This window comes from Homo sapiens, chromosome 3, assembly GCF_000001405.40.
Source record: "Homo sapiens chromosome 3, GRCh38.p14 Primary Assembly".
In the NCBI taxonomy this organism is placed as follows: domain Eukaryota; kingdom Metazoa; phylum Chordata; class Mammalia; order Primates; family Hominidae; genus Homo; species Homo sapiens.
In genome coordinates this window covers 77,035,569-77,052,886 of record NC_000003.12, presented here as the reverse complement: position 1 = coordinate 77,052,886, position 17,318 = coordinate 77,035,569, and the positions used below count along the sequence as shown (strand labels likewise).

Sequence of the window (17,318 nt, the reverse complement as noted above, 5' to 3'; positions counted from 1 at the left end):
ATTAGCTGCTTCTGTAAACTCTCAAGAGTATTGCAATTAGTTCTTTTATCAAACAAACAAAAATGCTATTTGGCTGTTGTCAAATAGATCTGCCTAGATAACATTCTGAATATGATCACTAACATCACGTTCTTAGTTTGATGTCATCATAAACACTGCCAAAATCTAAGAATGGCTAACTGATTTTTTTCAGTGTTCATTTGGGATATTATTACCGTTTCAATTGTATTTGACAGTAGCCACAATTAACAGTTTCATGAAAAACTAGCTTTTAAAAAAGACTATTGCAGGTATTGACATTTTAGCAATTTCTTTGTCAAAAGGTTTGACAATATGTAAGATCTAATTTGCAAAATAGCCAAAGTAGTATGAAGACCTTTCTTGTCTGCCTTTTCCCCCCTTCAAAACAGAAGGTATTAATCACTCGATCTCAAAGGCAGCTGACTGATGCTATTCACTGAGTAGGGCATTCTCACTAATGTGGCCCCATGAATAACTCTCAAGGCTTTTATTATTGCTCTGAGTGGACTCTCAGCAGCACAGCCTCTCTTTAGCAACCCTCATCCCCTCAGGCTCCAAAAGGATTATAGATAATGGCTGAAAGAAAGCATCATTGGTAAAAACAAAAGTTTTTAAAGGGAAAGAAAATGGGAGCAAAGTGGACATATTGGAGACAAGTCATGATTCATGGCCTGTACTGTGTTCTGCCTCTTTCTCTTACTAAATACACTCTTTAGTTTTACTGCTGGATAAGAAGGGACTAAACCAGTGCACTTCTCCTAGCAACCAACATCAGTCAGTAAAGAAGGCATGTCATCTGCTCAAAGAGAAAACGGAAGAATCTGGGGTCATACAAAGCAGACACATGTTCTTTTGCATTTGATCCCAAATTGATTATCAAAAAGGGTTCAGTAAATGCTAAATAATTCTGTTTTATGTGAATGTTAACAATCCATAGAACTAAATATCAGCGTGTCCGCTTGCTGTATAGTTGAGTGTCAAATGCTAATCCAACCGACTTCATTCAAATGTTCAGTTTTTCACTTTTCCAACACACTCTTTCGTCCCCTCCCCTTATAGTTCAGGGAGATTGCCCCTCCCAGGTATATCCTTGCACCTCCTTGACCATTTCAAATGCAAAGATTAGGCATAACCTCCTATAGAGATCCATGTTTGGAAAGCTTAGAATTGAATCCTGATACAGACAGACAATACAAGCAATTGCCTGGTCATTTTATTTGCATGTCATGTGTAGCCGCTGCTTCAAAACTTAAAAACTGCTTTCTGAAAAGAAATGTTGAATACACTTGGAATTTAAATTTACCATGATGAGACACATTTACTGAGAGCCTCAAAAATCTGGAGAGTTTCATAAGATCCAAGTGATGAACATCACAGGTGCTACAGTTTAACAGGAAAGTGTAATAAGAATTCCCAGCCTGGAAAGGGTTCTTAAAATACAAGTTGTCTGTTGGATTGTGAGTAGAGGGCAGGCATCAAACACCTCAGTTTATTCATAATAGTCTTATTGCCATGTGTACAGGGAGGTGGGAGGCAAGGGGGTAAGAGCTATATTTGCCCAAAATCTGTACCCACATGTTGTACATATTTTCTGATTCTTTTTTCTTTCACTTTAGTATTAAAAGTTGACATTATTCAGGCTTTCAAATCAGAAAGGTGGGACTGAAACACTTAAAAACATACTTAGCTATGAAATGTATTTACATGTTTCATGATAGCCAGTGAGGAATAACCCAGTTAAATCTGGTTTTGGGCAGAAAAGGAGGCCTTAAACCTCAACTGAATGACAACTTGATTTGTGAGTTCAGGGCTCATATGCCCATTTGATGAATTTTTTTTTTTTTTTTTGAGACAGGGTCTCCCTCTGTCACCCTGGCTGGAATGCAGTGGTGTACTCACAGCTCACTGCAGCCTTGACCTCGCAGACACAAGCAATCCTTCTACCTCAGCCTCCCAAGTAGCTGGGACTACAGGTGAGCACCACCATGCCCAGCTAATTTTTTTTTTTTTCTTTTTTTTTGCAAAGATAGGGTTTCACCATGTTGCCCAGGCTGATCTCAAACTCATGGGCTCAAGAGATCCTCCCAGTCTCCCAAAGTACTGAGATTACAGGCATGAGCCACGCTGTGTGGCCTGAAACATCTTTTCATTATTATTGTTTAACTCTTGAAATTATGCGAAAACAATTACAATGCAAAAAAAAAAAAATGTTTTGAGACCACCACATTAAATGTTGTAACTCTTCTTAGTCAATTTTGCATGGGGAAAAAAAACCAAAAAACAACAAAAAAAAAAAACACACAAAAGCAAAGACTGAGAATGTTGTACCTAGCATTTTCTTTTCTTTTTTTAAATGAAAGTAAGTTTATTAGAGTAGTAAAGAAACAGAAATGGCATTTTCTTTTTAAAAGGTTACATTTCTCCTACTCAGTTTCTACGCTAACCCATGATAGAGATGGGGTAAGAAGCACTAAAACAATTGGCGTTTGAGTAATAGCTTGTTGTTGCTGGCATTCAAAGGTACTTAGAATACACAAACGGTTATATACTTAAGATGAGGAAGGTGAAATGCTTAAGATGAGGAAGGTGAAATGCTGTCTCTGATTTAATGGAACAATAATAAGCTTGGTTTTCAATAACTGTACTGTTATCTGGCAACGTATTAAAATTTACTTTATAATAGAGATATAAAATACAAGAGTGCCTGTTGCTAGATTCATTCTAAATTTCCCCTAATTTACTCTAACCCTGAAATCTATATTTTATAATAATCGGATATATCTAAATAAGTTTAATCATATTCTAGCATTTGCTAGTATTTGGAAATATACGTATTATAAAACTTCTAAGTACGACTCTAACCTTGATTTATAAAAACTTATAAACTTTCCTTTATAATGAATAACTCTTAACTCAAGTTTTTTGGAAAGTCAAAATTCTCCCTTTTTGAATCACACTTATGAACATTTTAATTGGTTATAAGTGCTGCAGAGGTTTGGTCCAAATCCCTTAAATTCCAGTCTGGTTTCAACTGGGTGTTCCTTGCTTAAACTTGAAAAGCCTTTCAGTGGGATAGTTGAGTTATATTCCATGTTCTCCAGCTCATTTCCAAAAAGCTTGGAACCAAAGTCTAGGGAAAGAGATCCCACATCAATCCTTACAACAGAAATTAAAAAGTGGCTGTTAACCCCCTCTCCTGAGCTAAAATTTCCATGTTGCATATGGTTCTAGTTATAGTGGCCAGAAACTAAGCACATTGACCTAAGACTATTGTCTCCTTAGTATTAAATTTTTAAAATTCCATTTATTGATAAGGAAAGCCTAAGTACCACTGGTCATTAATGAATGAGAGTGGATGTGAATCATAAGACTAGTTAATTTTGGCTGTCATGCATATCCATAGCCATATCATTGAACCCACACCAAAACACAGATATGCTACATGCATATTAGACAATAGACTGTTATTGTTTTTAAAGATGGATGTTTATGGTTTTGGATAATTCTTTTCAAGCCTAAATTTGTGTGAGTGTGTGTGTGGAGACGGGGCCTCTGTCACCCAGGCAAAAGTGCAGTGGTGTAATCATGGCTCGCTGCAGCCTCAACCTCCTGGGCTCAAGGAATCCTCTCATCTCAGCCTCCCAAGTATCTGAGACCACAAGTGGACACCACCATGCCCAGCTAACTTTTTTTCTTTTTTGTAGAGACAGGGTTTCACTATGTTGCCCAGGCTGGTCTCAAACACCTAGGCTCAAGCGATCCTTCAGCTTCAGCCTCCCAAATTGTTAGGATTGCAGGGGTGAGCCACTGCGCCGAGCCCAGGCTAAATTTTCTTCTTTAAAAATTCTCAGATATAACAATAAATGTTGGAACATTAAACAGAAGTACTTGGGATAATAAAACCTAAGGTTCATGGAGACCTTGGAAATTACACAGTCAAATGAAACCATTTTTGGTAAGGTTCTAAGGCAATTAGAACAATTAACAATCCACTAGGGAAGCTAACAGTGCAGTCCAGAGATCTGGTCACCAAAGGTATGTCACTTCCACAATAGTAATGATATTGTTTTATTCAGGCTATCCTTTCTGATATGCATAACTACTCATTGTGCAAATGTAACTAATGGATAATTATAAAAAGTTATTAGATTCAATGTCTTATACTAAATGAAGGGAAGCTAAGGGGGCTATCTAGAAAACGAATTAGTGAGTGGATACCAAATGTTAATTTTTACTTAGGTCTTCGGTTCTCAAAGTGTTTATTTAGTTTGTCTTACACAAGATTTATCTCCACAGTACGTTATATCAAAGCACCAGGTAAAAATTATCCAGGATGAAATGTAAATCAGCCAACATGAACCAAAATGCAGGCTTACACAAGCATGGTCTACTTGCTAACAAATTGCCATTTGTGTGATTCCTCTCTTGTTTACTATCTTCATTCGTCGCACCTTTCACTTGGGAATCACATGTGTTTTGTAATCAGCTTATGATGCAATGGAAACACACATGTCATAGCACAACTGTCACAGCTGTGTAGGCGAGGCCACCGATAAGTTCCCTTAAGAGGCAACAAAAATTCTTAATCAGTCACCTGAAGACTCACAGCTGAAAAATCTTATTAAAATTGTCCTAACATGCACCCCAATTGTAGTCCATAATTAGTCTGATAGCAAAGTCCTCTTCTAGTTATTTTCCTTGTTCATACTAGGCAGGGAATAATAATCTAATAAAAATACTACTAATTATAACAATAAGTTATGCTTGAGTGGCATTTATAAAGTACACTGTTCATGGCATCATATATATCTTTTTTTTTGAGACGGAGTCTCACTCTGTCGCCGAGGCTGGAGTGCAGTGGCGCGATCTCGGCTCACTGCCAGTTCCACCTCCCAGGTTCAAGCCATTCTCCTGCCTCAGCCTCCCAAGTAGCTGGGACTACAGGCGCCCGCCACCACACCCGGCTAATTATTTTTTTGTATTTTTAGTAGAGACAGGGTTTCGCCGTATTAGCCAGGATAGTCTCGACCTCCTGACCTCGTGATCCACCTGCCTCAGCCTCCCAAAGTGCTGGGATTACAGGCGTGAGCCACCGCGCCCAGCCCATATATATCTTTATATACATCTTTATTTTATATATATATTTATTTATTTATATATATCATTATATATATTTTTTTGAGACGGAGTTTTGCCCGTTGCCTAGGCTGGAGTATAATGGCACAATTTTGGCACTGCAACCTCCACCTCCTGGGTTCAAATGATTCTCCTGCCTCAGCCTCCTGAGTAGCTGGGATTACAGGCACCTGCCACCATGCTCAGCCAATTTTTGTATTTTTTTTAAATAGAGAGGGGGTTTCACCATGTTGGCCAGGCTGGTCTTGAACTCCTGACCTCAGGTGATCCACACACCTCACCCTCCCAAAGTGCTGGGATTACAGGCGTGAGCCACCATGCCCTGCCTATATATCGTTATATTTTTAAAACTATTTTATTTCTCATTATAACTGTATGAGATATACATTATTACCATGCCCATTTTACAGGTAAGGACACTGAGGCATAAAAAGGTTAAATTACTTGTTCATACTCATTCAGTAGTGATTGCTCAGTAGTCTTTCAATAACCATCTTATCCTTCTTCCTTACAGGCAAACTATGTTGCAATCAATCTAGACTTCTTGCCATTTCCTTAGCACCCCTTTGTCATCTTCATGCCATTTTTCTGGTTACTTCTTTTCCTGGAATTCAATTTCCAATCTTTTTGCCCACCAAAATCCCACTCTTCCTCTAAGGTCCAGGTTAAGAGACCCATTTGGTGTTGACCCTTCCCAGATTGTACCAGCTGGAAATCACCTATTCCTTCTCTGAGTTCTCAAGACTATACTGTGTACACCTTCAAACTTCTTACTTATCAGACACTACTTTTTTTATTCTAGTGACTTGAACATTTGGTACCTTCCCTACCAAGTCATGACTTCCTTGAATGTGGGAATATTTTCACAGGTCAGCATGTTCTTCACAGAGCCAAGCAAGTTATGTTGTCAATATGCATGTGTTGAATCAAAGGAATAACCTAAACATATTCAAGCTCATTTTCTCATGGACTCTTCAGAAAATAGCTGGTCATTTTCAGTAACAAGAGCCTGGAATTCTTGTTAAGGAGTTCCAGGGCTAAGAATCCAGAAACAGTCTCTCATAGGCAGAAGCCTGGTACAGAGATGAAGCATCCCTGGAGTCTAGTTTCTGCTCTACCACTAAGTAGCAATGGGATCTGTGACAAGGCACATAAAATCTCTAAGCTTCAGTTCTCCATGTGCCCAACCAATAAGAGAGTTGTGCAATATAGCTGCAAATATTCATAATGGCTCCGAGATGCTATCATTCTATGATTTATATTTACTATTGCTGAGATCTCTGCTAAAAGTGACAAGTTCAACTGAGGTACTATCTTTGTAAAGTTTTACGAGGCAACTGAGGAAGACTTAGAAGACAACAACCACTGAAGGGATTAGAAATCAGGACTATTGGGGATTTGAGACAGATTAGTATAATATAAAATTGTTTCACTTCAAAACATCATACCCAACTCATAAGGCCCTTCGACTCTTTCTTTCCATGATCAATTAAAAGAAAATATCTACTTCATATATTGCTAATGGCAATGTAAAGTAGCACAGCTGCTTTGGAAAATAGTCTTGCAGTTCCTCAAAATGTGAAACACAGACTAAACATACAACCCAGCATTTCCATCCCAGGTTAAATGAAGACATATGTTCACACAAAAGTTAGTACGTGGATGTTCAAAGCAGCAATATCTATAATAGCCAAAAATGGAAATAACTTAAATGTTCATCAACTAGTAAACCAAAGGATAGATGATAAGGAATATTGTTTGGCAATAAAAAAGAATGATGTACTGATGCATATGCTATGACACGGATGACCCTTAAAAACATTACGCTAAAGAAAAGAAGCTAGTCACAAAATGACATCATATATTGTATGATTGCATTTATATATAAAATGTCCAGAAAAGACAAATCCACAGAGGCAGAAGTAGAGTGGTGATTTCTTGTGGTTGGTGGAGGGATGGTGGAACAAGCTACATAGTTTCTTTCTTGGGTAATTAAGAACATTTTAAAGTTAGATTGTAGTGATGGTTGCACAATTCTGAGAACAAGTTGAATACAAGTTGTGAGAACAAGTGAAAAATGGTTCCTCATTGGGGGTCATGAAAAAGCCTATGAATGGTGGAAGCCATTTACTGTGATGGGAATGGCTAGAAAGAGAAGATTCTGTCTTAGGCTTGAGTTTTGTACATTCTCATTGGACATGAAGCAAAGACGTCAAGTAGTCAGGTGAGTATGTCAAGCACTGATGCAAGCACTGGAGATCAACAGTATATACAACAGCCAAGTTCTGTGCTGATGGATCTTATATCCCTCCATGCAATGATTAGGGCAATTTTAGAATTATCAATCCAAACATGTATTTAAACCTCATGTGATTAGATGAAAGAGCCTAAGGATTGGCTGCAAATGGAGGAGAAAACACTAAGGATTGAGGCCTCCGTTACTCCAACACTGTGTTGAGTCAAGTATTCTGGGTAAGCATGCTACCCTAGATGCTATATGCTTCTATCATTGTATAACACACTACTAAAACAGTAGAGTTGATAGGTATTTATTTTTAAAAAGAGTTTATAATCATTCCTTCATTCTTTATATAGTAATTCTTTTACAAGAAGAAGAAAAGCCTACAGCTGGCTCAGGAAGTCCTTTCAGATACTTTCCCTACCGCCCGCCTCCCTCCCCCAACATTGGGTGTTCCAAGCCCCTCACAAAGACCTTAAACCCTCAAGTAGTGGCTCAGCTAATAAAGGCACACATGGAAAAAAAAAGAAGAGAAGAAGGAGAAAAGCAATATCTATGCCAATGTATTGATTTAGGTTGATAGATCTATACCTGGAGAACCTTTAAGAAATACAGCAATACTTTTCTTTAGAAATAAATCTGTAAAATGGCACTCTATAAATCTCCACTGTTTGCTTGAACTCAGATATGACGACTTTTACTTGTGTAAACTGGAAAATGATAGGATCCGTGCAAAACATTTTGCATAAAGCTATATATAGTATTGTGGGGTAAAAGTGAGAAAGTCAAAATCCCAGTTGGATATACCTAAAGGTAAAATATTATTCACATTTTTCCTTTAAATGCAGATTTTCTAAATTATCATTCAAGAAACACCCTCACCTATCTTCTTCACTCTTCAAGTGTTTCTCTAATTCCTTTCATTAGATCCAAAAAAGAAAAAAAGAGGAGGAGAATAAGAAAAGGAAAGAGACGATGAATGAGAAGAAGAAAGAGAAGGAGAGGAGAAGGAGGAAAAAAAGGAGAAAAAGGAGAAATAGTAAATAAGATGATAATCTTTTTTTCTAATACTCTTCGAAAACCAAATTGCACATGGGAAGTAAATGTACCTCCTGTAGACTGCCGGAACTATTTCAGCAGATATTACTAGGCACACACACATCCCACATACATCAGCTCCCTTCATTGCTATGTATGTATCCCAACTTATACAATGTGCTTACATATCTATATTTTTATCGTCAAACATGCTATTTTATACAAGCTGCTCAGGGATGAGATGGCCAGAACTGCTCTTTTTATATAATCATTACTTTTTTTTTTTACAATATTTTTGCTTAATGTTCTAAGAAATCCTTTTTTTTTATGGTCCACATGTTGCGTAGCATCAAAGGTTATTCAAACAAAGCCAATTCAAACATGGTATTACTGCATAGCTTCAAAAACACATTTCAGGTTACTTATATATAATTTAAATTCTGAAATAGACTACATATGGCTATGATAATAAGCCCATTACTGAAAAAGAGCACTTTAGCAACATGTATAAACCTCTATGAGATTCTACATCTGCACTATGCACATACATTATCTTTACTATATTTATCTCCCCTAATATCATGTGTGCCACTTTCATTTAAGAATAGTTAAAGGGTAAAGATGAGAAAAACATTCTCATTTTAAAACACCTTTTCACAAGTATTATAAAATTATCAGATTGATGTAATATATGGCATATAGATGTAATTTAAAAGTGTTGCCATAGTTCATATTAATTTCCCATAAATGACTGCAAAACCCTATTCTTATTCAAAAATAAAGAAAAGCTGGAAAACAAAGGCTAACCTTAACATACATTCTCCTATATGATCATACAGAAAAGTCTAGATGTGATTAATCTGCATCAATAAGAAAACCATTATTTACATCCCAAATAGAAAAGTTTATCTACATTTCTCAACTAACTTAATATTTGCTCTCTATGGATTGCTACAGGGACACAATACTGAAAAATTATAAATAATATTAGCAGATAGCTTCTATGAGGTGGCAAAACGCTACCATTTTTCATATACTATAAAAATGCACATATAAATAACCCACCAAGCAAATATCAATGCAAATATATGTATCATTTGTCACTGAATAAAATTAATATCTGTGTCTAGCACAAGGATGGTCAGTATATCTTTGAAATGGTACAGGCTTCTGTACATTTGAAATTCATGTGGAGTATAAGCACACACCTCTAAGAAGAATAAGTAAATAGAAATCATAGAATCCTGGAAGAGTAACAAAGCTTAGAGAACCTACAAACCAACCTCTTCACTATATATGTGAACACTGAGTCTCAAAGTGCTGAAACAGCCTAGAGGGCAGTGTTCTCCACATCCCAAATTTTCAACCATCCCCGTGGAGAAACTGTCATTCTGAAGTATCCAAAGGCAATCCAATGTCAAACGTATGATTTACATATTAATTTAGTAAGAGTGTCCAGGGTTTCCTTTGCTTTTGACACAGCAGATGCTAAATACAAAACTAGTTTCACACACACAAAAATTTAATATTGCCTTTTCAGTGTCAACTCCTCAATTTTGGCATTTTTCACTACATTACTATGAGTTCTGCTGCATAATTGTGGCCCAGACACAAACTGCCCCCTTATCCTACAATGTTAAATCAGAACAAAGGTTCTAGGTTGTCTTTGGGGGCAGGAGAAGGGTGGTGTGGGAGAGAAGGAAGGAAAGAAGGGAGAGAGGAATAAAACGGAGAGAAAGAAGGGAGGGAGGAATGAAAGGAGGGAGGGAGGGAAGGCAGACAGAAATGGTGTCTTACTACTGCTGCTCCAGCAAGCTGGTTAATTGCATTTGTTTCATATATCTCCAAACACCCTGGTATATTAATTACATTCTGTAACACCAAGCTCTTCTGATTTCCTGTCACTTCCACTGAGCAATTTAATTGTATTCCTCCTAGCAACACACTGATTTAAAAACGCTTATATAAAAAAACCCTTGGTGATAATTTTGTAGTCTAATGTATAGTTTACACATGCATTTCTGTTGAGATATGTAAATTCATGATTTATGAGGACATATTCTTTTAAAAGTTATACCAAATTCTTCTTATCATGAAAATCAAACACACCTGGGACAAATAGGTAAACCTATTTTGTTACGGTAATGTACACGTATTTTAATGTACTGAAAAATAAATGCATGAAAAATAATTAGAGATGTTGCCATAGTATAATTCACAATAATTAAATCTTAAACATCTACTGCTTAGACTGGTAAAAGAGAGAAGCAGTGCACACACACGCATCCCTCCCTCACTATCGCTGGGGGGCAAAGGTACTCATGTAGTCCATGATTGAAAACAGCCACTTGACAGTAGGTAAACTCCTCTGTATTGCCTCATGTTTATAGAAAGCCTTCCTTTTTGAGTCCAATACATTGGGCTCTATGCAGCAGTAGCTGCCAGGAACAAAGTTAGCTACTCAGATGGGCCAAAATAGGCAGTGTCCCAAATAATGAATTCATCCACAATGCAAATGCTGGAGGAAAGTTTATGTGGCAACAAGCTATTGTGATGGCTCAAACAGTTAGACTAATACCCTTTAGGTTCTTTACAAGTACAGAAAGTAACTAAAAACCTAAAGTACTGCAATCCAGTTAGAAAAAAAAAATATCTAGTACTCCCTTATACCAGTTGTTTCCATCGATATAAAAATTAAAGCCTCTAGAAGGTTAACAGCAAATATTCTTTTAACTTTTTTCTTTTGAATACAAACCAAAAAGCATGTTAATGATTATTTCCACTCTTCATTCAAAAGAACCACAAAAAAGGATTTTGCAATAGTCGCACAAGAAATTGACATCCTGTGAAAATATCCCAGTAAACCAAATCGGAACAAAAGACAAGAGAATCAGAGGCAGAATGCTGTGGGCTTGACAGACTGACTCAACCTAGAGGGAGACACCTCCAGCACCTGTTTAAGGTCCCCATTGTGTTTGCCCACTGGGGACTGAGCTAAGTGTTCTACTCCTGTGGCCAGCCCATAGCTGATGCTTCCCCCTTCGTGGAGCCTCGCCCAGTCTCACTTTTGACAGTTTTCTCCCTAGGATCTAAATTCTTCATTCGATTTAACGCTAGGAGAGCATTCACTGGCACACAGGTGATACACATTGATCTCAGTCTCAAATTCCTAACCCACTGAACCTTCCTTAGAGTGTCTATTACTGTATTTCTTCACTTGAATGTCTCAGCCAAAGTTCAGACACAAGAGCAAACATCAAATAGAGAGCAGGCACAATAGTATTAGGCTCTTGCAGGAGATTGACTGTAATATTTCTTTTTCTAACAAAACTGGGAGCCCAATCATTTATTATCCAACTCCTTAATTAGTGAAGTAAATTACAACAATAACAACAATAGGTGACTACCAACACATTCCACTTACAGCAGTTTAGAAACAAAAGACTTAAATAAAACCTCTGCCCCCAAGGAGCCCGTGCCGGGCCAAAACGGACTAACAGACATAATGTCATTTCATTTATAACCCACATCAAATTCAAAAAGAAATGGTTTTGGGGGATTGGGGGGTGGGGGGCGCAAAAAAAGATGAAAGCATTTTTAACTTACCATCAACCCGAACATATAAAAATCCACAGAGCAGTAGTTGTGTAAACATCAGCAGACTCATTTTGACATATTAAAAAGGATCCAGATTCTTTAAGAAACCAATCCCAGAGAGCAAAAGTACAAAAATGAGTATCAAAAAAAGAGGTAGGTCCAAAGTTTAGACTTTCCTAGATACTAATTAAAGTCAAGAAGAGCAAATCGCAAGATCAGAAGGGGTTGGTGGAGAGGTCTCGAACGGGGCACACTGAGATCCATCCAAATTAACAGAGGGTACTTCAAAGGCTGCTGTATTTCCAGCACTCTGGCTTCCTAAATTCCCACAAATTCAGCCCAGCCAGAGGGATTATTCGAGTGTGTCTAACCCTCTCTCCTTAGGCTCCACTGCAATCCAAAGCCAAGTTCTTCCTTCAGAAGTCAAGATGATGAAGGGGGAGGAAAAGACCTAATTCCTAGAAAGTGTTCCACAAACTTGCCAGCGCGCTGCCGAAAAACCATTGGCCTGCCTACTGGTTTTCTTTCCCCCGGTTTCCTTCTCCGTAGCAGCTCCACGTCCGGAGTTATTTTTTAATATGTCTATATTTTTACTTAACTTCCATAATAAGAATGTGTCAAAGCAACACTTTGCAGGCGGGCAGACTTGGCGGGCCTCTCCTTTGCAGCGGTGTTGCCCTCCCTCCACCTCTCCGGTTTCCAAAAGAGAGGAGAAGGGAAATCAGGACGATTCGGGTGGAGAATCCGAACTCCTACGTGGTGAGGGAGGCAGGGAAGGAGCGAGGGAGGGAGGGAGGGAGGGAGGGGCCGGGCGGAGGCCGAGGCTGCAGACACCCCCGCGGTGCCGCCTCTGAGGATAGTGCACCAGGCGGCTGCGGGCGCGAGCAGAGACGGGCGTGAGAGCCCAGCCCGGGCGCGGCGGAGAAAGGGAGCGCTCAGTCCAGCGCCAGGCGCGCTGAGGCCCCTCGCCCGGGTCCAGCCCCCGCAGCCTCGCAGCAGAGCGTCCGCTTCCTCCGGCAGCTGCCGCGGGTGGAAGGACTTCTAGGAGGGAAGGCGAGGAGGCGGGAGGGGAGGGGAGGAATGAGAGCTGCCTGGAGTCGGCCCGGGGAGGGGCGGGGGCGAGGAGGGGCGCGCGGAGCCCTGAACCTCCGGACTCGGCCACCCGCCCGCTGGGGAGTGGGGAGGGGTCCTGGAGAGCCGAGAGTCCCCGGGGGGACGGAGATGAACAAATTCGGAGAGCCCCGCCGGCTGCCGAGGGCCGAGGCCACCGGGCGACTCCTTCCCCTTCTCCGCGCCCCCGGGTGCCCACTCCTTCCCGCCTCGGGAGGGGATAGGTGGGCTCCAGGCTCCTGCTCCTCGCCGCGTCCCGTTTAATGGGCAGGTAATTTTCTCCGTGAGTGATTTCATGGAAGCCCTTCCTAATTATTCATCCCTCCGTCTGCCGGAGCTGCACGCGCTTTCTTGAAAAAGATCAGCCTCCAGGACCCAGGGCGCAGCCTCATTACGCGTTAAAATCACACACTCACTCACTCTTCACCTTTTAGCCAGATGAGAAGCCGAGTAGGAGGAAGGAAAGGAAAGGAAAGGAAATAGAAGCACCTTTTGGACTGGAAAGGTTGTGTGTAGATGCTTCCTATATGATTCAAAAGCACAAGGGGGAGAAAAAGGAGGGGGCAGAATTCTCTAACCTCCAGCGGCTCATTTTAGCCAAGATCTATGGCCCCCTGCGGCATCCCCAAGGGAAGGAGGAAGGGGAGGCAGCCCCTCTTATGTTACTCAGTTGCCTTTTGACCCCTCCACGATGAGTTTGATGCGCGATCGCGCAGGGCGAGGGAGTTCCACAGAAGATGCTAAGGACGGGGAAGCGGGGATCACAGAGCTTGGGGGAGGGGGATCCCCGAAGTCTTTACCCTCCAGGGACCAGCACCTCCAGAAGGAAATTCGGTAAACATAGGCTCTGGGTGTGGAAAGCCGAAAGCCCAGCTGAGCTCATGGAAGCTCAAAAAGAAGCCGAATTTCAGCCCAAAGACGACAAAACTCTGAAAATTAAGACCAAGACTACCAAAGGATGCCATTCAGGACCGGGGATGATGAAGGAAGGTCACGTTAGATCAAAGGGGTGCCGGTGTCGGCGGTGCCCCGGTGCGGCCGGGCCCACGTGTGATCACAGGCTCGCTGGTAGCCGTTTGATGCTTGTTCAGATGATGAGAAGGCGGCTTATAGGAACTCACGCAGGTCCCCGAGCCGAGCTAAATGCTGGATGGTGAGTCTTTAGTTCCCCCTACTGGAAAATATTAGGAAAGGTTCTCTCCAGAAGGGGCCGTCTGAGGAAGAGCCTTTGTTTGGTGGATACGTTTTGGTGCTGCTACTTAACTTAGGTCTCCCTTGCATATTATGGGCGCTGTGTGTTCTTTTAAAAAAAGGTCAGCGACATTCAAGCAATTAGAAGAGACATTAGGACACCTCGGCATGCTTGAAAATTACGGTAATGAAATAGTCTTGCGAAAGAATAAAACAACCACTCTTCTTGTAAAGCATTAAGAGTAATTTCTGCACACTTTTAATCTACAGTATTTACTTGTGAAGAAAAAAGTGCATTCGGTTGTTAAAGTTGAATCACTTGAATTCTCACTATAATAATTCTGAATGTGCTATTGTTTTAGCACCCCGTGAAAAAAGGCTTAACCGTTAAGGAGAAACCCACCCCAAAGGTCCAATACGTCTAAATTGGATAACACTGTGGTTTAGAAACATCCAAAAGTGCGCTATTAACATCTCTTTTATCTCTGGAAAAGGAAAGTAATTAAAATTCTTGAAAACTTTCATTTTAAACACTTGGGCTTGGTTTACCCAGTTCAGGATTACAATGTCTAGCTCATGTCTCCAAATAATACACACCACCAGCTTATCTCGGGCAAATTTCCTTACGCGGGTGAAATTTTTAAGATATTCGGAAAATAGTCTTCCTAATACAATAATGCAGGAATTAACACATCATATAGACTTATAAGACCCTTAATTTTAAGATGGTTCACAGAAAGGAAGACATTGGAGGATTTCAACTAGAAGTGTTTTCTCATGACTATTTATTTATCAGGCAAAATATAGATTCTATTTTATACTTGATAGACTCACCATCTGTAAATGCCTTTCCTTAAGTAAACTATAAAATCACTCAGAGGCAGAAAGAGTGTGTGTGGGAAACAGAAGGGATAGATTGGGCGAGATCAGCCTACCACCAATTGCCATGGTCCTTTAGGGCAGAAAATGTTGCCCTATTCATAGAAAGTTATCCTTGTGTAGGGTATGACAAATTACATCATACAGAGAAGAGCTTTGTATAAGGGAAATCGCTTTGGTTATATTGGCATTTTTTTTACCAAGCATCAACATTTTGCATTCTTAACTACTTTACCTATTAAAAGTGACAAAGCAAGCCAGTGATTTTAGACTGGTGCCATTTTTTAAATGGCTTTTGTTGTTGTGGTTGTTGTTGTTTGCCATACACTAGCTACCTTATGGAATAATGTCTTCACCAAAACATTTTGGAATCCATGTTTTCTGCTTTTCTTGTAGTCAAGTTCATAACTGGTTTTTTAAAAGAATGCTCTGTCAGTGTCTCATTTGATATGAAATGTGACTAAAAAACCATTATTTTATAACAATCTCATCCCAAATGATAGTTTAGGATTATGACCAAACATCTCACACTAAATTAGCAACAGTAACGAGTCGCCAGACAGAAATTTGTTATGGACAACATTAATTCCAAAAGAACAAAGACATTACCTTCTGAGATATATGATAAGATCTATACTAGAAAAATGTGCATATTTCAATTACACTTAAGACAGTTTTAGTGAGCACTGCCTATATAAAAAATGGATTTCTCACTCCAAATGTTTAATTAAAGGAAAGTCTTTAAAATCTGAAGCTTCTAGTAGAAGTTGGAAATTAAATTTTAGCAGTGCTTTAGCAAAAAAAAAAAAAAATTAAGGTTTTCCTTAAGCCAAAAAGAAACAGCAATGGCTTAGAACAATGAAGCCCCATGACCACCACATCAGAGAGCTTAAGATACAGAAAAATCAAATGGGGATCTGGCTTCAATGTCTTTCTAAATATAAATTGTTTTTTTCTTTTCCAAACAAGCAGCTGAATAGATAAATGTAGATGGAAATCTAGGCTTCTTTTATGTAAAACCTGGAAAGGTATTATATATTCAAAATGTGCCTATATATTTTAATACATCTAAAGATTGTAAGAAACTGTCATTATCCCTAATTTGGGTAAGGTTATCCAATGGCCTTCTTTGTGATTGAATTTCTGAGTTGGTATTCCAGCAGAAGTATAAAATAACCATATGAAGGAAATCTGCAGAGTGTAACATATTAAATATTTCTTTTTTCATACCAGATTCCCCAAGGATGTGGTAAAAACTGCAAAACCCTAATCCACTTTTTTACTCTTTTCAACGTGCTCTTGTTATAATTGTAAGGCAGCATATATATAAAAATCAAAGGTTTGATCCATGATAGTAATTTTAACATATACTGCCATGTAGTGAGCACTAACCACGTGTCAGGGAATTCTTCTAGTTTTTAAAAATTCATCATATTGTTAAATTCCTATAAGAGGCTTATGTGGTTGATACTATTCCCATTGTACAGATGAGAAAAATGAAGATTAGATAATCAACCCAAGTTAATGAAAGGCACAATCTTGCTTTAAATCCAGACCTGAATACAAAGTCTATGTTATCAAGAACTTGAGATTGATTTAAGACATCTACCACATTGCAGAAATAGTATAAGAGTATAATATATTACTCTGATCAATTTAAGAAAACCGCAGTGTACCAAAATATACAGAAATATGTAATCAATTTTTCTTCAAAATTTAAGAACCTCTTTAAAGCCATTGCTCAGCTCGAATTTTTCTATATAAGATTGTCTTATTATACTATACAGAAACATCACATTAAATGACACGTATGTGTTATTATCTACAAAAGGACACAGGACAACTAAAGTAAGTGAAGCATTAAAAATCCTGATCACAGAGAGACGGCTCATTTGCCCCTACATGATTTTTTCTTTATTACACTTGACTTTGTTCCAGAAAGGATCTGAGGGAGCCAAGATAAAATGAATATTGTTCTTCTGAAATATGTTCTAAGTATCTGATTTGATTCGATTCATTTTGAAGTGGTCACCAATACTTGTCTCTATATAAGTCTGTCTGTGTAGCTATTTATGAATAGCATTTTTGGTATATTACATGAAGTTAT

The 17,318-nt window shown here is 39.1% G+C and overlaps 1 protein-coding gene across 41 annotated transcripts in view; it reads right to left on the bottom strand.

The window, feature by feature from the left end:
* Positions 1–17,318, bottom strand: part of ROBO2 (roundabout guidance receptor 2) — a 1,743,290-nt gene that overhangs the window by 597,078 nt on the left and 1,128,894 nt on the right. For 12 of the 41 annotated variants that reach the window (XM_017006986.2, NM_001290040.2, NM_001395656.1 and 9 more), the window contains exon 1: positions 12,041–12,788. The exons of the other annotated variants lie outside the window; for them this stretch is intronic. In XM_017006986.2, the coding sequence (XP_016862475.1) occupies positions 12,041–12,101 (61 nt within the window). In that variant the 5' untranslated portion in view covers positions 12,102–12,788. Of the gene's footprint in view, positions 1–12,040; positions 12,789–17,318 lie in introns of those variants that run through there. 41 annotated transcript variants of the gene reach the window in all.